A 20,863-nucleotide genomic window follows, 5' to 3' on the forward strand; every position below is an offset into this window, starting at 1 on the left:
CCAGGAAGGTGACCCTCATGTGGCCCAGCTCAGCTGACCCGGAAGACTCAGAGCCCCAGATCTGCAGCGAGAGCTGGGCACTGGAGTGGGGGATAGGGTTGCCCATGCCTCTCAAGGTTGTCACAGAGCCTGAGGCCCTGGCTGGGAACACAGAAGCCACCACAGCTTGAATCCCCGGCAAGAGATCTGTGTGTGACCCAGCCCCAGCTCGCACAGAAGCCTGCTGTGCACAGAGGACAGTGCTCCAGGCATGGGAAGTGCTCACAACAGCGGCTGCCACCCGCAAGTTCTTCATTCATTCATCGGCTCATTCATTCCGTCAATCAACAAGCCTGCAGCCTGGTGTGGGCACAGGTGCTGCCCTGGACGGGAGCAATGGGCTGAACTGGCTCCTGCCGACTGGAGCTGCCATCCTCCTTAGGGAGACAGACAGTGTGCAGGCACCAAATACACTCGTAAAGTGACTTCAGATCATGATCCTTAGCCAAAGTGGGCACGGAGGGCTTCCGGAGGGGCTAAGCCTTGAGTGACAAGAAGGGGACAGCCAGGCCAAGAACTGTGGAAAGAGGATTCCAGGCGGAGGGAACAGCAAGAGCAGAGGCACAGAATGCTCACGCTCACGGGAGGGAGGCCTGGGGCAGGGGCAGGAGCAGTGGGGTGGAGACTGGGCATGAAGGCAGTCCATGCCAGTCCTGAGGAGCAGTGCCACTCAGCCCCTGCCAGTGGCTGCCTTGTGGGATTGGGGACACGGTGTGGCCAGAGGTTCCGATTTTGCAAGGAAAGCTGGAGGTCTGGAATTTTGCATAAAGCATCCTGATTTTTTTGTTTTGTTGTGTTTTAGAAATGAAGTCTCAATCTGTTGCCCAGGCTGGAGTACAGTGGTGCAATCTTAGCTCAGTGCAGCCTCAAACTCCTGGGCCCAAGTGATCCTCCTGCCTCAGCCTCCCAAATAGCTGAGATTACAGACATGTACCATCATGCCAGTCTTATATTTATTTCTTGTAGAGGTGGGGGTGGGGGACGTCTCATTATGTTGCCCAGGTTTCAAACTCCTGGCTTCAAGCAATCCTCCTGCCTCAGCCTCTCAAAGTGCTGGGATTGCAGGCGTAAGCCACCATGCCTGGCCTCCTGATTTTTAAATGGCCACAGTTTATTCAATTTTTTCTGAAACTGTTCGAGCCACACAAAACCTTTCTGAGAGCCAAAAACAGTGTGTGGGCCACTAGTTTGAGACCTTACTGGGAAGTGAGGTCCTGGATTCAAATCCGGCCTCCCACACTTTCTAGCCATGAGACCCAGGCAAGTGACTTACTCTCTGTGCCTCAGCACTGTCATCTGTAGAATGGGGAGGAGGGTGTCTACCTTACAGAGGGCCTACCTTACAGGGTGCTGTGGAGGCGTAAAGGATTTAATTTACTCATTTATCCAGCACATATTTACTGAGCATCTACTGTGTTCCAGGGACCATGCTAGGTTTGGGGGTCACAACAGCCAACAGGAGACAGTCTCTGCCCTGGTGCATCTTACAGTCAATGGGAAAGACAAAAAACAAAATGAGCAACGGGAATGAGTACCACGTGCAGAAATGCCAATAGGAAGAAGTGCCGAGGAGAAAAACTAGGGCAGACAGCAAGGCAAAAGGAGTTGAAGAAGGCATGCTGACATTTTAAACCAAGGAGGGCCTCACTGAGGAGGCGGCATTTCAGTAAAGGCCTGAAGGAAGCGCGGGAGTGAGGCACACAGATGTCCCGTGAAGTGTGTTCCAAGCAGAGGTAGCGGCCATGCAGAGGCCGGAGGCCTGGCCGCCCAAGGAGAAACCAAGGAGACTGGGGAGGCTGAGTGGAAAGACAGGCCAGAGATGGGGGAGGTGGCAGTCGTGAGATCAGGTGGTCCTGGAGCCCACTGCGGGGTGAGCTTTTCCTGTGAGTGAGGTGGGAGCCAAGGGAGAGTGTGGAGCAGAGGAGGGAGGATCTCTGACTTGGCTTTAACAGACCCTCCGGCTGCTGCAGGAGAATGGGCTGCAGCGGGATAGAGCCGCGTACAGGAGGGAGGGTGCTCACTGGTCCAGGTGAGCACGATGGCGGCGGGACCAGCGGCCGGAACTGGGAGGGGGAGACGCCTCTGGGGAGACGTCCAAGGTGGAGCCAGCGGAGAGAGAGGCGTGGAGGCCGGTGCCTGCGGGTTTGGCCTGGGCAGCGGGAGTGTGGAGGGACTGTTTCCTGGAGCGGGAAAGGCGAAGGGGCTGGTTGCGGTGAATGTGGGGCTGGGAAGGCCAGCTGGCTCCCTGGACATGCGGGAAAGTGAAGAGAGAGGCTCCCAGGAGAGGGTGGTCCGGGGACATGGCGTTGGGCACCCCTGCTGGCACTGGAGGAGGCACCAGGGAGAAAGTGTTGTTGGAGCTGAGGACAAATCAAGCAGCCCGCCCGGACGGTGGCCGCATTTGCTGAACATTTGGAATTCCAGGAAAGGGCCGGGGGCCTGGAGGAGGACCCAGGTGATCCCCAGGCCAGGTTTCGGGGACTGCGGCCCCCCGAGGGGGTCTCAGCTTCTGGGCGCTGGGGTTGGGCAGCCGGGAGGCCGCCCCTCCCCCATCGCCCTCTCCCGGAGCGTCCGCCCCCTCCCCCGCGCCACCTGCGGGGTCGGTCAGATCCGGGCCTTTGTCCCGCGCCCCAGCCCCGCCGCCCCGCCTGGCTCCCCCCCGAGCAAACACAGCTGAGCGCCCGGGCTCGCGTGCCGCCCCCGCCCCCCAAATCTCCGGGCCGCGGGGTGGAGGCTTAGCAGGGCAGCTGCGGGCCTGCGGGCGGGCGGAGCTCGGGGCGCCCCTCTCCCGCTCGCACCGCCGGGGCGCGCCTTTGTCATGCAGATGGCCCGCTGGCGGCCGGCCTCGCCCGGCGGCGCTCGGGCAGCTGACCTGGGGGGTGGGGGACAACTCCGCTCCCACATCATGCCGAGGCTCCCGTGAAGACCGCGTCGTCCTTGCCCTGGGACCCGCTCCTCCCTCCCCCCGGCGCCAGGTGACCCACTCCAGTCGCTGGGCGTCCCTGGCCTGTGTTCTTGCTCGCACTCCCTGCAAAGGAACCTGCTGTCCACACACCTGGAGCCCTGGAGCAGGGGCTGGGATTTGCCGCTGCCAAGGGTGTGGGGCACATGTGGGGGGCAGCCCCATCCCTCCCAACTGGTCCTAGGCCAGCCAGACCTCTGTACCCACTGTGGGTGGCTGGGACCCAATCGCTGCCCATTCCTGCCTCAGTCTTCCCATCTGTACTATGAGCGCTGCTCCAGGGCAGAGAGGACTGGTGGGCTTAGGAGGAGGCAGGAGCCAGGTTTGTCCCACCGGCCTTGCAGCCACCTGGTGTGGTGGCCTTGGGATGATACGTCTGGCCTCACATGCAGCGATGTGGCCTGGGGATGTGGATGCCCGCAGCTCAGGGCCCTCGTGGGCAATGACACTCATGCTTAGGATGCCAGGATCCCCACCCTCCCAGACCTACCCCTCTCCCACCCATCCTGACCCAACCCTAAGGTCCTGTCTCCTCCTAGGTAACTGGGGTGGGGCTTGACTGGGGCACACGCCCACTTTCTCCAGAGCAAAAGATTCTCCAAAACAGGGGTGACCAAATGGAAAGTTATTTACTGCCTAGTGTCAGGAGTCAGGCCTGGGGCAAGACCTGGGAGGAGAAACATTCCTGCAGCTGGAATCAGGCCGGAGGAGCTGGTGTCCCCTGCCAGGGTCAGCTGCTAGTATCATCCCAGGAGCACCCTCTCTCTTTATTTTGCAGGTGAGTAGCCTGAGGCCAGAGAGCAGTAGGAACCTGTGGCCTCCCAACCCTTGTCTTCTCCTGCAAAGAACAGAGGATTGGGATTCACGCCAGAAGGTACAGAAATGGCCAACACAGACGAGATGCCTCAAGTCTAGGTTATGCGCATGGAATCACATGGTATCATTCCTCATTTCTGGAGTAAAAGGCAAGAATACTGACAACAAGCAGTGCCGGGCAGCTGTGGGACAGGTGGAGCCCCCATGGACCCTGCTTCTGGCGTGCAGTTTGTCAATATGACACTCAAAATTCTGCGGAAGCTTTGATCCAGTGACTTACCTCGAATAATTTATCTTCATTTTTTAAAATTTATTTATTTATTGAGACAGGGTCTCGCTCTGCCACCCAGGCTGGAGTGCAGTAGCACGATCGCAGCTCACTGCAGCCTTGACCTCCGGACTCAAGCAATCCTCCTGCCTCAGCATCCCTCAAATAGTGCAACCACAGGTGTGCACCAACACACCCAGCTACTTTTTAAATTTTTTTGGAAAGATGGGGTCTCACTATGTTGCCCAGGCTGAATTTATCTTTAAAGGGCACGAATAAGATGAGTGGACAAAGAAGACCCAGTTATGTCATGGGGAAACCTGGAAGCCACCCCAAGAGCACAGCTTTGCAAGTGGATGAGAGTTCCAATCTCAGCCCAGCTGTGTGATTCTGGGCAACTGTCCTAACCTCTCTGAACTTCAGTTTCCTCATCTGTAAGGTGGGAATAATGGCAATACCCAACCCCTCCAGGGCCGTCTGAGGAAGACATAAGACTACATGGGTAGAATGCTTACCTTTAGGCACACAAGAGACAATTTATATAAAGGAAAAAGTTGGTGGTCCCATATGATGGATTATTAAACAGCTTTACAAATAAAGAAGAGCCTCTCTGGGCCTCAGTTTCCCTCTTGAACAAAGAAAAATTGGTCCTGGGAGCTCACTGCGTGGCTCCTCGACTCTCTGCAGCGATCCCTCCCTTCCTGGCCCTGGCTGTGACTCCCTGGCAGCTGAGCAACTGGGTAGGAGAGGGACATGGCTCAGTCTGTCTGTTGGGCCATGCGTCATTCTCAGCTTAGACCCAGCCTTGCCTGTCACAGGAGAGGGCGGGGGAGGGGAGGAGAGCCCAGAGGCCCAACTCCTCTACCCCTGGGCCCTGCCCCTCTGGCTCAGCCAGCAGGAAAGGCCAGTGGAAGGTGGGGGGCTTGTCTCACTGCCCTCTCCCCCAGGGAGGGGCATTTGTGGCCAGATCCAGTTTCTGGCAGGACTGGTTAGTCCAGGTGGCCTGGATGGATGGCCGAGATAAGGTCTGTGCAGATTGGCCAGGCTGGGCAGGAGACCCAAGCGGGACAAAGACAGGATAGCCCTGGCCCAGCCTGATTCACAGGTGGGGTTAGGAGCTGCCCCTGTCTTGTCCCAGCCTCTGTCACCAGATTTTGGGGGCCAGGCACCCAGGTATCCTCTAGGAACCTCCCGTCACTGCCTGCGGTGAGGTGGCACAGAAAGAGGTGATCCTGGGGAGAGGTGTTACAGGTCCAAGGTGGCCCAGCACTTGAGGGGGTGCTGCAAGGAAGAGTTTTTACCAGCCCCTGATGAGGCTCTAAAGCCCAGAGACAGCATGACCTGGGGCTGCCTGGGTGTGAGGTTGTTGAGGATTCTGGGTTGCAGGTAGGCACCGTCTTGGTTTCTCTGTCTCTGTCTGACATTCCAGACGCTCCCAGGGCCTGGCTGGGCCAGCTTCCCTCATGGGCTTGGTTCTCACAGACCCAGTCACAAAAACCATGCTGCCAGCACTTAGTACAGCCTCAGGCCTATACCACCTCCGTCCCTCATCAGTGGGGTGCCCTCTGCCTGGTGGTTCCTGCCAGCCTCAGGCCAGGGGTTCAGAGAGCAAGTCTCTCTCATAGGTGCTATAGCCCCAGGGACCCAGGGCAGAGCACAACTCAGCCTCCCAGGCTGCCAGCAATTCACTTACTATACTGAACATTCTGTTTCCTCCTCCACGACCACAGCCATCCCTCTCCATGCCCTGTGTGCTCTGCTGCCACGGTCCCCTTGCCCTTGCCTCTGGTCTGGTTCACCAATGGGGACACCAGCTGAAGACTGGAAGGGTGGAAGGAGAGAGTGGCCAGAACTACTCATCCAGCATCTCCTGGGTTGAGGCTGGCCATGTCCTGACTAAGAGCCACAGTCCCCACTGTGGTGGGAGGGTGGCCCTCTCCTGGGCTGCAGCTTGGGAGAGCTCCAGTAACAGCCCTGCTCCCACTCCCTAGAGGCAGGAATGGTGGCTTCCTGCTCTCTGTACTGTCACCATCCCTTAAGCAGCATCTGTAAGTGGCCAGCTCATTAAGCCCTTTCCCCTAGTTTGCAGACTACGTCTCCTGCCAGGATCGGATCAGTAAACCTCAGGACTCTCACAGCCCTACAGGGCAGCTGGAGCCATCCCATTTACAGATGAAGAAACTGACTCAGAATCAAAAACAACAAATCCGGAGCCATCACATTACTCAACTTCAAACTATACTATAAGGTCATAGTCACCAAAGCAGCATGGTACTGGTATAAAAATAGTCACATAGACCAATGGAACAGAATAGAGAACCCAGAAATAAAGCCAAATACTTACAGCCAACTGATCTTTGACAAAACAAACAAAAACATAAAGTGGAGAAAGGAAACCCTATTCAATAAATGGTGCTGGGATAATTGGCAAGCCACATGTAGAATGAAACTGGATCCTCATCTCTCACCTTATACAAAAATCAACTCAAGATGGCTCAAATACTTAAATCTAAGACCTGAAACCATAAAGATTCCAGAAGATAACATCGGAAAAACCCTTCTAGACATTGGCTTAGGCAAAGCCTTCATGACCAAGAACCCAAAAGCAAATGCAACAAAAACAAAGATAAATAGATGGGACCTAATTAAACTGAAAAGCTTCTGCACAGCAAAAGAAATAATCAGGCTGGGCGCAGTGGCTCACGCCTGTAATCCCAACATTTTGGGAGGCTGAGGTGGGCGGATCACGAGGTCAGGCGATCGAGACCATCCTGGCTAACATGGTGAAACCCTGTCTCTACTGAAAAATACAACAAAAATTAGACAGGCGTGGTGGTGTGCACCTGTAGTCCCAGCTACTCAGGAGGCTGGGGCAGGAGAATGGCATGAACCCAGGAGGCAGAGCTTGTAGTGAGCCTAGATCGCGCCACTGCACTCCAGCCTGGGCGACAGAGCGAGACTCCGTCTCAAAAAAACAAAAAAGAAATAATCAGCAGAGTCTGTTAAGACAACTATAAAGTAGGAGAAAATCTTTACAATCTGTATCTCTGACAAAGGACTAACATCCATAATCTACAAAGAACTCAAACAAATCAGCAAGAAAAAACAAACAATCCCATCAAAAACTGGGCTAAGGACATGAATGGAACTAAAAGTAAATCTACCATTTGATCCAGCAATCCCACTCCTAGGTATCTACACAGAGGAAAAGAAGTCATTATACAAAAAATATACGTGCACACACATGTTTATAACAGCACAATTTGTAATTGCAAAAATATGGAACCAATCTAAATGCCCATCAATCAACAAGTGGATAAAGAAAATGTGGTGTATATATACCATGGACTACTACTCAGCCATAAAAAGTAACAAAATAATGACATTCGCAGCAACCTGGGTGGAATTGGAGACCATTATTCTAAGTGAAGCAACTCAGCAATGGAAAACCAAACATCGTATGTTCTCACTCATGTGTGGGTGCTAAGCTATGAGGACGCAAAGGCATAAGAATGATCCATTCATTGGACTTTGGTGACTCAGGGGAAAGGGTGGGTGGTGAGGGATAAAAGATTACACTTTGGGTACAGTGTACACCACTCAGGTGATAGGCGCACCAAAATCCCAAAATCTCAGAAATCACTGCTAAAGAACTTGTTAATGTAACCACTTGTTCCCCCAAACCCTATTGAAATAAAACAAGCACCACTTGTTCCCCCAAAAACTTATTGAAATAAAAAAATTTAAAAATAAAACAAAAAAAGAAAAAGAAAAGAAAAGAAAGGAACTGAAGCTCACAGAGAACTCGCTTCCCCACGGGGCCTTCCTTTATGGGACCCAAGAGCTGAACCACAAATGACCTCCCCCAAAAGCCTGGCATTTGGGCCACCATGGGGCCTGCTGCAGGCCTCTGGCCCAGCCCTGGGCCCAGCTCAGAGTTCAGGTGCCCCCTCAGTGCCCAGGGGCATCCAGGTTCCCCCAGCTGCAGCCCAGCCTGACCCCAGTGCTGACTTCCATGCAAGGAAAGGCAGCCCATTCTCTGTCATCTGCAGGGAGACACCCCCTGCCAGGGGACAGGCTCCAGGCCCCATCCCAGGAGCCAGCTTATCCTCTCTGCTGCCATCCTTCCCATCCTGTGAACTGCTCCTTGTCATTTCCATTCTTCAGGTGGGGAAACTGAGGCACAGATCAGAGCTCGGGAGCAGTGGTTCTGGACTGAAACTTGGGCCCTTCCTAACTGGATCTGCTGTTCCACCCTGAAGAAAGCCCCTCAGCCTCAGGACCCATGGAAGTATTGGGGAAGGTGTGGTAGGGAGTCTAGAGCCCCCTAGAGGCTAAGAGGATTGCAGCCGTGTGCCTGGAGCACTGCAGGCGGTTGGGGAGCAGGTGTCTCCACATCTGGGCTCTGGCCTCCAGAATGGGCATGAGGCCTCTGTGGGGCAGGAGGAGACCGGAGGCTTGCCCTTGGCCCTGCCTCCTCACTTCAGCCTCAGGTCACACCTCCAGCAGGGGCAGCGGCAGGTGGGTGCCTCCAATCCACATAGGGGCTCTCGCTCCCCTGCCCCAGGGCTGCTCCAATATTTGGGCCAGGGATAGAAGACAGCCAGCAATGGCCAGCCTTCAGTTCTTTTCCTATAGATGCCTCTCCCCTTCACCAAGGGAGGAGCCCCCCTCTACCCCCAGCTAGGGATGCCGGTGGAAGGAGCTCTTAGCTCCCCTCGTCACCATCTCCCTTCATTCTCAGCACAGACCTTGGGAAAGGCAACCCAAGGCTCACCTTAGCCTGAGCTCCCCCTGAAAGGACTGCCTGGAAGAAAGGAGTCTGTGTGCAGGAAGTTTTGGTGGGAAGCAATGCCAGGGGATAGGAGTGAGTGAGCCACAGGGGAGCCAGGCAGGGAAGGAGGAAAAGCAGCAGGAGGCACTGCCAACCCGGCCACCTCTGTGGGGTTCTGTGCTCCACCCCAAGGGGCCATCTGTGGAAACCTGTGGGAGGTGCTGAATGCTGTCTGGCCCAGGGATGGCAGAGGGGCACACAGCCATAGGCTCCCATCCATCCACTGGGCCACCCAGTGACCTCGTGCTTCTGGATTGCACTGTGTGAGTGCCAAGCAGTTCCCACAGGCAGTCCTCACAGCATGCCAGCTCTGGCAAGAAGTGAGTTGCAAAGCTGTGCAAAGACCACATGGAAGAGACCATGACAGCACCGTGGCTGGGACAAGCAGGAGGTCAAGAGGATGTGAAGTGGGCACAGAGGTGTCTGATGCAGTCCACGGTTAAAAATAATGGATGTGAAACAGAAAATCTGAAGTATAGCAAGGCCAACAGACCATGCAACGACTGCCGCTGAAAAGATAGTTTATTACTCACAGTTCCTTAGAGGAGGGGGCTGCCCGGGAGGCACTGGGTGGGTCAGGAGGCAGAGGGAGAGAGGACCAGAAGGCAGGAGCCTCCATCATGGAATTAACGGTGAGGTGGGTAAGCAGGTGTAGGGCTGATTTGTTTGAATAATTTCGGGGCTCTGGGGCGCAGGGCTGCCCCTGGTTGTCTGGTCCTGGCCCTTGCGGGGATAGGGCAGAGGGATGGTGGTCTGGAGTGTGAGATTCCAAAAAAGAAGGTAGCTGGGGTGTGGACATTGGGTTGGGTGGTTTTGCATTTGAAAGGTGAGCTCAGAGCGAGTCATGTCATCACCATAGATTGGCCGACCATGAGAGAGGTGGTCCCTCCAGGCTCAGCAAGGCCCCAGGTGTCAAAGCATCGAAACACAGACACTGAAAGAGGTAGTTGCTGAAGGTCACCCGCCACCCCTGACCAGCTCGGCCCTGCTTGTGGTATCACTGAGTCCTGTGTGTCCAGAGCTTAAATCAAGGTAGCGGCCAGCCTGGATCTTTGTTCAATGTTAATACGCAAGTATTGGATGGGTCACAGTCCCTCCTGCTGCACCTGGTCTCAGTGCTGGAACTGATGCTCAGCAGCACCCCCACCTCACCACCTCTTCTGGAAGCCGCCACCTGCGGTCCGTGTGTCAGCTGCTCTGGGACATTTGCCTGGTGGGGTAGCCTGGTCTTCCTTGGGGGTTCTGAGACCTCAGTTGGCTTGCCCTTTTCCAGCTGAGGTTGCTGCAGCTGCCCACTTGTCATTATCCCCAGGTACGGAAGGACCAGGGGAAGCCCCAGAGCCTTCCCTGAGTTTTAGATGTCTCCACCCTGGGCAGCAGCAGTAGTCTTCTCACAGTGGCCAAGTTGATCACCCTCACAAGCAGGCTCACTGCTGGGCTGTGGTTGTGGCTTCAGGTTCAGTGGCATATTTGTCATGTGTCCCATCCCACCATCAAGCCAGGACTGCTAATTTGGCAGAGCGAAACATTGTGGGGCAGGAAGTCTGTGTTCTGCAAAAGGGAATGATGGTGAGCGGGCCTCCTCCCCAAACTCCAGGTGTGTATTCCGGTTCCGGGGCCCAGCCTGGGCTCATTGCATGCACTGCCGCCCACAGGACAAGACCCCAGCCCTCGGGCTGCTAGTCAGGCGGGCACCTGAGCTGAGTCTCCCATGGGCCACTCCTCTTAGACCAGCCACTTCTGAGTAATGTGAAATAAAGTGAGGTCAGGACACCCATTCTTACATTCCTGTTGTCACCTCCTTACAGCAGCTCAGTCCCCTAGTCCAAGGCAATTGTGCAGGATGCCAGGGTTCCCTGAGGAGTAAGCTTTTAAACTTAAGGATTGCATTGTACATAGTGGATTAACTTCTCTCCTGGGTATCTAGTATGGTACCAATTCTGTATCATCCTGGGGTACACTGAGAAAGTCATCACTCGAATCATTTTCTGTGTGTTCGGTTCTGATGGGAAACTGATTGAGAAGCCTCCTGCCCTGCTGGAGAAATGTTGCCACCAGATCCCCATGAGCCCTGGGAAGGGGATGTCAGTGGAGGCTCTGCAGCCAGAAGGCAAACCAGGGTGGGTGCACATGCGAGCTGCTGCCCCTCCATGGGGGGCAGGGTCCAAAGTAACCAACCTACCATTGAGTAGCTGTCAGTCTCAAGGGATGTCTCCAATCACCGACTCAGCATCTGTCTCTGCCACTGTGATTGCTTATTTCCCAGCAACAGTAGCGGAGACCGATGGCTCCACTCTTGCCCTCCTGGTGCCTCTGTTCATAAACCGCTTGTGCAAGCGCTGGAGTGGCCAAGGACACAGGCTGACTGGCGGCCACTGACCAGGTCAGGCTCCCCTGGTTGTCACATCTGTCTGTGGTAGATGCACACACTTTGTGCCCAACCTGTCCTTTAACCCCAGACCTCCTGGCCTCAGATCTCCCAAGCTCGCTCCTTCTGGGTCCATGGCCAGCCAGCCTGGCCACACAAGTTCATGCCACTCCCTCCTCAGGTCAGGGTCTCTCCCTACAGCTGGAGCCATTGAGGGCACTGCTTACAGGGCTGCCCGAAGCACTGCTCCTCTACAGGGGCGCTCCTGGGAACTGTAGAACAGCATGGGGGTCCATATTTGGTTGCAGACCCGTCTGTGGGCCAGGCCTTCATTTTTAATTCTATCAGGTGGCCTTAGGGGACCCTCCCATGAAGCCATAGGTGAGCCCAGGAATAGGTGTCAGCGCAACAGAGATGGGTGACAGGGAGTCTGGGCCTCCTCCGCAGACCTGCTCAGGTCTGGACCTGAGCGCCTCCGCCTTCTGTCACACAATGGGTGGCCACTGTGCCAGCCATCCAGCCACCTCAGGACTCAGTGGATCTGATCACAGCCAGCTGCTTGCTGTCACAGGGTCACTGGATGTCCCAGGCTCTGCAGGGCCCAGCAGCATTCCAGGAGCTCCTTCTAGGACAGCACGCCCTCGCTGCAGGACTCTAAGCAACTTCCTACCAGAACTGGCCGGAGATCCCGCACGAAGGCGTGTCTGTTGCCATCACATTGTGTGGCCAGGCCTCAGGGCAGATTGACCACAGTCAGAGCCTTCTGCCGGGGCCTGTCTTGCTCTGGGGCCCACTCAAAATGTGTAGCCTTTGAGCTACCTGATGAATGCAGAGCAGTGTCCCCAAGGCTGATAGCTGCTGCATCCCAGTCCCAGAAGGCCCACTAAATGCTGTGCCTCTTTCTTTGTGGTAAAAGGTGTGAGGGGCAATAGCTTCTCCTTTTCCCCAAAAGAGATTTCACAGCCTGCCCCAGAGCTTGGGATCCCTCAGGTCCCCACGGATACAGCAAGCCCCATGCATCTTACCAAGATAACCAGGGTGCATGCCACACTGCTTCCCGGGCCTGCTTAGCACGGCTTCAGCAGCAGAGTGGACCAGCACAACATTCCATGGCACATTAGTTCCTCCTATGGCACACTAAGCTTTTTTAACTCTGATTCAATGGAACCTTTTCACACTGTTAAACTGCACATATGCTATGATGCATTATTACACCAGTGATTCCAGCTACATATTTTTTGGCCTCTCTTGGTCTTGGGTATCTAGGGGTCCAGAGGGATGTGGAATTACACTCATTCAGGTTCATGATGATTATTTTGGGTAGTGGGGTTTGGGAGTGATTATTTAATTTTGTTTTTTAATTTCTCTGTATTGTTTAAGTTTTAGAGTACGCAAGTTTTGTTGTGATTAAATAACATTTGAACATTCAGTAAAAATTGCTGAATGTATCATTTCAGCCAAAATGCTGGAGTCAGGTGAGTTTAGATGGGAACCAGGGGTGACCTAAGAGAACAGTGGGGGAGTGAGAAGCCGGGCTCCCCTGGAGGTGGGCTGGAGGCTGTCCTGGAGGTGGACTGGAGGCTCCGCTGGAGGTGGACTGAAGGCAAACCTGGATGTGCTCCAGGCCCAGGTTCACATCAAGGGGCATGATCTGCTAGGGAGGGTGTTGGAAACCGTCCGGACCTTTCAGGAGCTAAGAAGTCAGAAGTAGGTCCAGATCTCAGGAAAGAGGCTGACAGGATGAGACAGGGACGATGTCTATTCCAGCAGGCTGGAGGTGAGAGAGGCCCCAGTGTCATTAAAACAGACCCAGTGGGCAGGGAAACAAAAACAGTATCGGAGGCACTTATGTGATCCTTCAGCCGTACAGTGCTCTAAACCCTTATTCATATCTTCCAAACAACCGCAATAAGTAGGGTCTATAGTTATTCCCATTTTATAAATGTGGAAACTGAGGCAAGGAAAACTTTAATACTTCCCTGAAGGAAACTGAGGCAGGAGTCTAGATCTAGACATGGGGTCAGCATTAATTCCCTCACCCATGCATTGTTTTCAACAAATATTTCCATGTACCTGGTGCTGTTTCTGGTACTGAGAAAACAGAAGGCACCAACCGTCCCCCAACATACCCTGCCCCCAGGGCAGCCCCACCTGGTAGGGAGGATGCATGCAACATGGAAACACACAGATTTATTGTTACAAACAAGGACAGGGCCTTGAAGCAAGAGTATACAAGATGCTCACCTGGCTAGGGGGTCAGGGCAGGGCTCCTGGAACAAAGAATATTTTAGCAGAAGCTGAAAGAATCCATAGAAGTTAGAGGTTGAAGAACATTCTGGGCAGAGGGAACAGCATGTGCAAGGGCCCTGTGGTGAGCAGGAGAGTCGTTCATTAGGGGCTTCAAAAGCAGTGCCACATAGGGATTAGCAAGCAAGAGGGAGTCTGGTGGGAGATGGGAATGAAGAGGTGGCAGAACGTTGTGCCTAGGAGAAGGAGTTTGGATTTCATTCTTGGCTGGACGGTTTTGAATAAGGCAGTAACTGGTCTAATTGACATTTTCACAGAACACTAGCTGCTGCATAGAGTCAGGAGGCAAAGGAGGATGCAGAAAGACCCGCTAGGCGGTGATCGTGGTAACGTGGGCGAGAGGGGGTGGCTGCCTGGGCCGCAGCAGGGAAGGGGCTGCCCTCCTTAAGATTTCTTGCAAGTCCCTCACACTCTCACTTAGAGCCCTTCAGCTAGAACTTAGTCCCATGGCCACACCTAACTGCAAGGGAGCCTAAGAAATGTGATCTCTATTCCCAGCACCCCTGTGCCATGGAAGACTCTGGCATTCTGTTTCTAAGGAAGAAAAGGGGGATGGATATTGCGGCAGACATCTAGCAGCTCTGCCAGTGTGATTTCATTTTCTTTTATTTTTTCATGGATGTGCCATAATTTTTCCCCCGCTTGGTTGAGGTGCAGTTGACAGTCTGCCACTGTGATTCAGACTTGGTAGTGGTGATGGTGCCAATGAGGCTGGAAGTGGTAGAGGTTAGGTATTAGGTGGTGGTAGGCGTGAGGTGGCAATGCTGGCACTAGGGGTGGCAATGAGGATGTTTCTGGTGGCCATGGTGGCTTCCTGAAGGTGGGAGCAATGATGGCCGGCAAGGTGGGGGTCCAAGTACTGGTGGTGCATGTGAGGTGATAGAGAAGGTGGTGGTGGCAGAGGTGATGGTAGAGTCTCATTGATGGTGATGGACATGGTCATGGTGATGTTTGAGGTGATGCTGGTGATACTGATGTGTAAGGCAACAATATTGATCTTGCCGATACAGAAGGTGACAGTAGTAGTGGCAGTGATGGGTTTCTGTTAGTAATGATAGTGATGCCTGTAGCAGTGGTGATGATGTTGCTAACACAAAAGGTGATAATAACACTAAAGGTGATAATAACGCGGTGATGATGTTGCTAACACTAAAGGTGATAATCCCTGAGTATCTGGGATTACAGATGCGTGCCACCACACCCAGCTAATTTTTGTATTTTTAGTAGAGACAGGGTTTCGCCATGTTGTTCACGCTGGTCTTGAACTCCTTGACCTCATGATCCTCCGGCCTCGGCCCCCCAAAGTGCTGGGATTACAGGCGTGAGCCACCGCGCCCGGCCCAATCCTCCCACTCTCTAAAGAGACATTAAGAAATGTCTCCCTCCCCAAATCTCTAACCTCTCCCCTGCTGTCCTCTGTTGCTAACACTAAAGGTGATAATGATGGTGGTGATGGTGATAATGGTGGGGATAGTGATGATGGTGGTGGTGGAGATGGTGATGATGGTGATGGTGGTGGTGGTGATGATGGTGGTGCTGCTGCTACTGATGGTGGTGGTGGTGGTGATGGTGACAGTAGTGGTGGTGCTGGAGGTGATGGGGATGGTGATGGTGGTGATGGTGGTGGTCGTGATAGTGGTGGTGGGGATGGTGATGATGATGGTGGCAGTGGTGATGATGGTGGTGATGGCAATGATGGTGGTGGTGGTGCTGCTGGTGGTGCTGGAGGTGGTAGGGATGATGATGGTGGTGATGGTGGTGGTGGTGATGGTGATGATGGTGGTAGTGATGATGGTAGTGGTTGTGGTGATGGTGATGGTGGTGGTGGTGCTGGAGGTGGTGGGGGTGGTGATGGAGGTGGTGGTTGTGGTATGAAGATAGTGGTGGTGGTGGTGGTGGTGATGATGGTGGTGGGGATGGTGATGGTGATGGTGATAGTAGCAATGGTGATGGTGGTGGTGGTAGTGGTGATGATGATAGTGGTGGTGGTGGTGATGGTGATGGTGGTGGTGGGGATGGTGATGATAGTGGTGGTGGTAATGATAGTGGTGCTGGTGGTGGTGGTGATGGCGGCGATGGTGGTGGTGGTGGTGCTAGAGGTGGTGGGGATGGTGATGATGGAGGTGGTGGTGTTTATGGTGACGGTGGTGGTGGTGAAGGTGATAGTCATGGTGGTTGTGTTGGTCATGGTGGTGATGGAGGTGGTGATGGTGACAGTGGTGGTGATTGTGACGGAGGTGGTGGTGATGGTGGTGGTGGTGATGGAGGTGGTGATGGTGATAGTGATGGGTATGGTGGTGGCGATGGTGGTGGTTGTAATAATGATGGAGGTGGTGTTCATGGTGATGATGGTGATGGTGGGAGTCATGGTTATGGTGATGGTGGTGGTAGTGGTGGTGCTGGTAGTGCTTGTGCTAGTGGTAAAGCTGATGTTCATGGTAAGGGTAATGATTTTGCCGACACCAATATAATGTGTTATGGCTGTAATGGTGATGGTAACTGATATAATTTGGATATTTGTCCCTCCAAATCTCATGTTGAAATGTAATTCTCAATGTTGGAGGTGGGGCCTGGTGGGAAGTGATTGGATCATGGGGGCAGATTTCTCATGAATAGCTTAGCACCATCCACTTGGTGCTGTCCTTGTAATAGTAAAAGAGTTCCCACAAGATCTCGTGTTTAAAAAGTGTGTGGCACCTCCCCCACACTCTCTCATTCCTGCTTTCACCATGTGATATGCCTGCTCCCACTTCACTTTCTGCTATGATTGTAAGCTTCCTGAGGCCTCCCCAGAAACCGAGCGGATGTTGGTACCATGCTTGTACAGCCTGCAGAACCGTGACCCAATTAAACCTCTTTTATTTATAAGTTACCCAGCCTCAAGTATTTCTTTACAGCAACACAAGAACGGCCTAACACAGTAACGTTAGCAGTAATGGCAATGGGCATGGTGGTGGTGGTGGCAACGGTGCTGACAATGGCTTTAATTTCTCTATCCTCCTTATCCCAGAGTCAGGAAATTGGGTCAGTCTACTTGTTCTTTAATTTTCTTTCAGACTTGTCCTCTTCCTCCTTATGCAAAAACAAATTCCCTAAGTCCAGCCTTCCCCTCTGAGGCTCACATCAGTAGGCCATCCCACCACTCCCACTCTTGTTGCTGCATCTCCTGACCTCCTAGCCACTCTTCCTCATTCACTGAAGAATTTGAAGAGACTCACAGGCTTCCCCATTGATCCCAGCTCTCCCATCTTCCTGGAGGAGTTTCTTGTCCACTTGGACAATCTGTCCAATGCCTGGCCTTTGGACAGGCTCATCCTCTTTTCCTGACTGGCTCATCCTCAGTGACCTTCTCCTGCTGTGCTCTCAGACACCTTTCTCCCCACATCCTAACCTCTGTCTCTGCCCAGCTTGCCTCGTTCGGCCATCCCCTGGTTTGGCCACTCTCCCCTTCACTGGCTCCCTCCTCCAGTGCTCAGTGCAGGAGGGACTGAGCTTCCCTCTGCTTCCCTCAGTCCATCAGCCTCCTCACTTCCTTCAGTTCCCCAACCCCACCAGTCAGAGCCTGCGGAGTCTGCGTTGCAATAGCATGGAGACTGCATTGCAATAGCATGCTTGCTAGCACCCTACACTGCATGCACCACTGTCTTTCTGTGGTCACAATCAGTGTTAGTTACCTATTGCTGTGTAACAGATCATCCCAAAAGTTAGCAGTTTCAACAACAGCAGACACTATGGTCTCATGCCACTTTTGTGGGTGGGGAATCCCAGAGCAGCATGGCTGGGTGGTTCTGACTCAGTCAAGATGTTGACTATCATCATCTGAAGGCTTGACGGGGGATGGGGACCTGCTTCCAAAATGGTGTACACAGGGGCTGGCAAGCTGGTGCTGGCTGTTGACAGGAGACTTGATTCCTCACCACAGGGACACCTCCACAGAGCCATTTGAGTGTCCTCATGACATGGCAGCTGCCTTCCCCCAGAGCGAATAACCTAAGTGAGCAGAAAGCGAAACCCACAGTGTCTTTGATGCCTGAGCTTCAGAAGTCATAGTCTGTCATTTCCAAAACATCCTGTTGGTTATCTATGTCCACTACACACAGTGTGGGCAGGGGCTCTATAGGGCATAGACACCAGGAGGCCGCTGCCTTCTTCTACCTGCACCAGAGCAGCTTAGCCCAGAGAAAGCAACCCCCAAGGGACGACTGGTTTCAGTGTGAATTCCTAAGGATGGTTGCACGGTTCCTCCCCATGGCCCAGCAGCCTGTGCTTCTGTGCTTCTGGGGCCAGCCTACCTTCCCACTCTTTTTTTTTTTTTTTTTTTTTTTGAGATGGAGTCTCACTCTATCACCCAGGCTGGAGTACAATGGCATGATCTCTGCTCACTGCAACCTCCTCCTCCCAGGTTCAAGCAATTCTCCTGCCTCAGCCTCCTGAGTAGCTGGGATTACAGGTGCGTGCCACCACACCTGGCTAATTTTTGTATTTTTAGTAGAAACAGGGTTTCGCCATGTTGTTCACGCTGGTCTTGAACTCCTGACCTCATGATCCTCCCACCTCGGCCCCCCAGAGTGCTGGGATTACAGGCGTGAGCCACCACACCTGGCCCAATCCTCCCACTCTCTAAAGAGACATTAAGAAACGTCTCCCTCCCCAAATCTCTAGCCTCTCCCCTGCTCTCCTGTCACTTTATTCTCAGGAAATGACCTCACCTCCAATTTTACAGAAAAACTAGAAGCTACAGGAAGTCCTTCATCTTCCTGTGACCAAGCGACAAGCACACATCTCTCTCTTTCCTCCCTGCTGTTGTGAGAGGAATTGATTGCTGCTTCCGCCAAGACTGAACTCACCTGTGTGTGGCCCCAGCCCCTCTCCTTTCTGAGGACCTTACATGATGAATGCCCCTTCTCTCTACCACACATAGCCCTCCTCTTCCACACAACTTGTGTTCTTCCCAGTGGATCTGCAGTGCCCTCGGCCCCGTTATTCTTCGGCTGCTTTCTCCAGACTCCTGTAGCAGACGGCAGTGTTCACATCTTCCTTTTCCTCCTCTCCATTCCCAGGCTCCTCTCAGTTCTCTGCTCCCATGGTCTCTAAATACCATGTCCCACTCAAAGGCACCAGGTATGAGTCAGAGCATATTCAACACGAGCCTGGAGCATCTTATAGACACAAGGGCAGCCATCAGAGACCATAGAGCCACGAAAACAAAATATGGGGGCTGCTTGCAGGGGCTCCCACTCAGGCCAGACAGCAGATACCTTGAATGTCAGAAAATTTCAATAGATGGAAAGAGAGCAAAGGTGCTAAAAACCCATGTGTTCCCAGTGGAGCTCAGACCTCATTGGTCAACAATGAGTATACTGGAAACCACCTCATCATTCCAGAAATATTAAAACAAAAGGAAAGAATGGCCAGCAGTCGTGCATTTCCTATATGAACTATTTCTCAGAGTAACTAGTTGCCAAGGGAAGCTCTCTTTAGGAAAATGCCAGCTCATGTATAAAATAGAAAGAAGGGATGATGTCATCACGTCACAACCCGTCATAATGAACTAGGCATGATAACCATTGACCACCAAAGTCATGGGTGAGAAGCTGATGGGGACTTTATCACAGATGGGCCAGGCTGGGAAGCCCTGAACCACTGGTCAGTCTTGACCCCACCAAAAAGGAGCAGGTGGACCCAAGGCGTCCCTGAGTACCGCCGTGGGAGGCACACCCACCTATGCAGGTTCTTGCCAAGGCCTCACCCCTGAATCGAATCGAGCCTCTGTGTCCACAGAAAGTGAAGGGCACAGAGGACCGTGTGGCCCAAGGCTGGTACCACAGCACAGCTCAGCTCAGCCCGACTGGTGCCATGGCCGCTTCTGGTCCGCCTGTCCGCACTTCTCCGCTCCCTCTCCCAGCATTTGGACAGGGCTGTCCGTGTTTGCAGTCCCATTCCCTCGGCCCCCCACTCCCATCCCAGTCTGATCGCTGCCCCCTCACTCCATAGAAGCAGCTTCCACAAGGTCAACAATGTCCTCTGTGTTGCCAGAACCAACTAATGTTCTTGAGGCCTCATTTGTCACTCTTGAGCCTCTTTGCAGTGGTCAGCGTGGTTTAACACTCCCTTCTTCTTGAAATACCCTCCCCTCCTGGCTCCCAGGTACCCCCCAGGCCGGTTTTCTTCCCCGCAGTCCCTCCCTCCAGAGACCCCTGCTCTGTGTCCTCTGAAGGGCTCTCCTCCCCAGCCGGGCATTAAGGACAGGATTCCCGGCCCTGTTGCCTGGCTATTCCTGAGTGGCCTTGTCCACTCCAGCTCTCACTGACTCCTTATACGCAGATGACTCTGAAACGTGTTCTCAAACCTAAGCATCTCTCTGGGTCCAGACCCATGCTCCAACCGACCATTGAAATATAGTGGGGGTCTCAAGGGCACCTCGTTCCTAGCAGGTCCAAACCTGAGCTCATGCTCTTTCTCCAAACACAGTCCTTTTCCTCCTTCCCTGTCTCAGTGGAGGGCCCCACTATTCATTCTGATGCTTGGGCCAAACACCTGGCGGTCTGCCTCAACTGTCCCTTCCTTTTAGTCAGATTCTGACCCATCACCACAACCTTTGGGATCTCACTTCCCAGAGAAGTGTTGAGTCCATCCTCTTCTGTCTGTCTCCCCCACAGCCACCTTCCTGCATGAATGGGACTCCTCGTAACTGGTCCCTGCTGCCATGCTGGCCTTGTCATCCTTTCTCCACGTGGCTGCTGGAATGATCTTTTCACAGTGCAAATCCAATAGTACCATCTTGCTTCAAACCCGTCTGTAATTTCTCATTGCTCTTAGCATCCAGGTGACAATAATCCTACAGCCCCTGCACCATGTGGTCCCTGACAGCCCAGCACCTGCCACCACCTGCCAGCCACAGTGGTCTTCTCCAGCCCTGGCATCACCTGTCCCTCCTGCTGTGGGGACTACACAGGTGCAGACCCTCTGCCTGCCACATGCTCCTCTCCAGGATCACCCCTGCTCCCTTTTAGATCTTGACAGCTTGTTCTCAGGGCAGTTCTGCTCATCTTCCCTTCTGCCTCCTGTGGTGCACATTTGAGTAATAGTTTCACAACTTTTGTTGTGACTATTTGAGTCAAATCTGTTTCCTTCACTAGACTATAACCCACCTGAAGGTAGGAGTGATCTTTGCTCATCGTGGTGTCAACAAAATCCAACCTCCTGCCAGTCACGTAGTGGATGCTCAAACCTCGCTCGGTGATGGTGTCTGGAGTGTTGGTGACAGTC

General features: G+C 53.4%; 1 long non-coding RNA gene across 1 annotated transcript, besides 6 other annotated features; it reads left to right on the plus strand.

The window, feature by feature from the left end:
• Positions 1,567–2,147: an enhancer, noted in NCBI's record as "H3K27ac-H3K4me1 hESC enhancer chr3:128150709-128151289 (GRCh37/hg19 assembly coordinates)". NCBI's record gives its function as "activates a minimal SCP1, AML or CMV promoter by ChIP-STARR-seq in primed H9 embryonic stem cells {active_cell/tissue: H9 hESC(primed)}" and the evidence as "EXISTENCE:reporter gene assay evidence [ECO:0000049][PMID:30033119]".
• On the plus strand, positions 2,107–4,684 carry LOC124909428 (uncharacterized). The gene is made up of 2 exons (XR_007096075.1): positions 2,107–2,494; positions 3,780–4,684. It is a non-coding gene; the product is annotated as an uncharacterized LOC124909428 (long non-coding RNA).
• Positions 2,148–2,727: an enhancer, noted in NCBI's record as "OCT4-H3K27ac-H3K4me1 hESC enhancer chr3:128151290-128151869 (GRCh37/hg19 assembly coordinates)". NCBI's record gives its function as "activates a minimal SCP1, AML or CMV promoter by ChIP-STARR-seq in primed H9 embryonic stem cells {active_cell/tissue: H9 hESC(primed)}" and the evidence as "EXISTENCE:reporter gene assay evidence [ECO:0000049][PMID:30033119]".
• Positions 2,728–3,308: an enhancer, noted in NCBI's record as "OCT4-H3K27ac-H3K4me1 hESC enhancer chr3:128151870-128152450 (GRCh37/hg19 assembly coordinates)". NCBI's record gives its function as "activates a minimal SCP1, AML or CMV promoter by ChIP-STARR-seq in naive H9 embryonic stem cells {active_cell/tissue: H9 hESC(naive)}" and the evidence as "EXISTENCE:reporter gene assay evidence [ECO:0000049][PMID:30033119]".
• Positions 5,293–5,980: an enhancer, noted in NCBI's record as "H3K4me1 hESC enhancer chr3:128154435-128155122 (GRCh37/hg19 assembly coordinates)". NCBI's record gives its function as "activates a minimal SCP1, AML or CMV promoter by ChIP-STARR-seq in primed H9 embryonic stem cells {active_cell/tissue: H9 hESC(primed)}" and the evidence as "EXISTENCE:reporter gene assay evidence [ECO:0000049][PMID:30033119]".
• Positions 17,170–17,319: an enhancer, noted in NCBI's record as "active region_20482". NCBI's record gives its function as "activates an Ori minimal core promoter by ATAC-STARR-seq in GM12878 lymphoblastoid cells {active_cell/tissue: GM12878}" and the evidence as "EXISTENCE:reporter gene assay evidence [ECO:0000049][PMID:35858748]".
• Positions 17,330–17,419: an enhancer, noted in NCBI's record as "active region_20483". NCBI's record gives its function as "activates an Ori minimal core promoter by ATAC-STARR-seq in GM12878 lymphoblastoid cells {active_cell/tissue: GM12878}" and the evidence as "EXISTENCE:reporter gene assay evidence [ECO:0000049][PMID:35858748]".

The sequence above is a fragment of the Homo sapiens genome, chromosome 3, assembly GCF_000001405.40.
Source record: "Homo sapiens chromosome 3, GRCh38.p14 Primary Assembly".
NCBI classification, from domain to species: domain Eukaryota; kingdom Metazoa; phylum Chordata; class Mammalia; order Primates; family Hominidae; genus Homo; species Homo sapiens.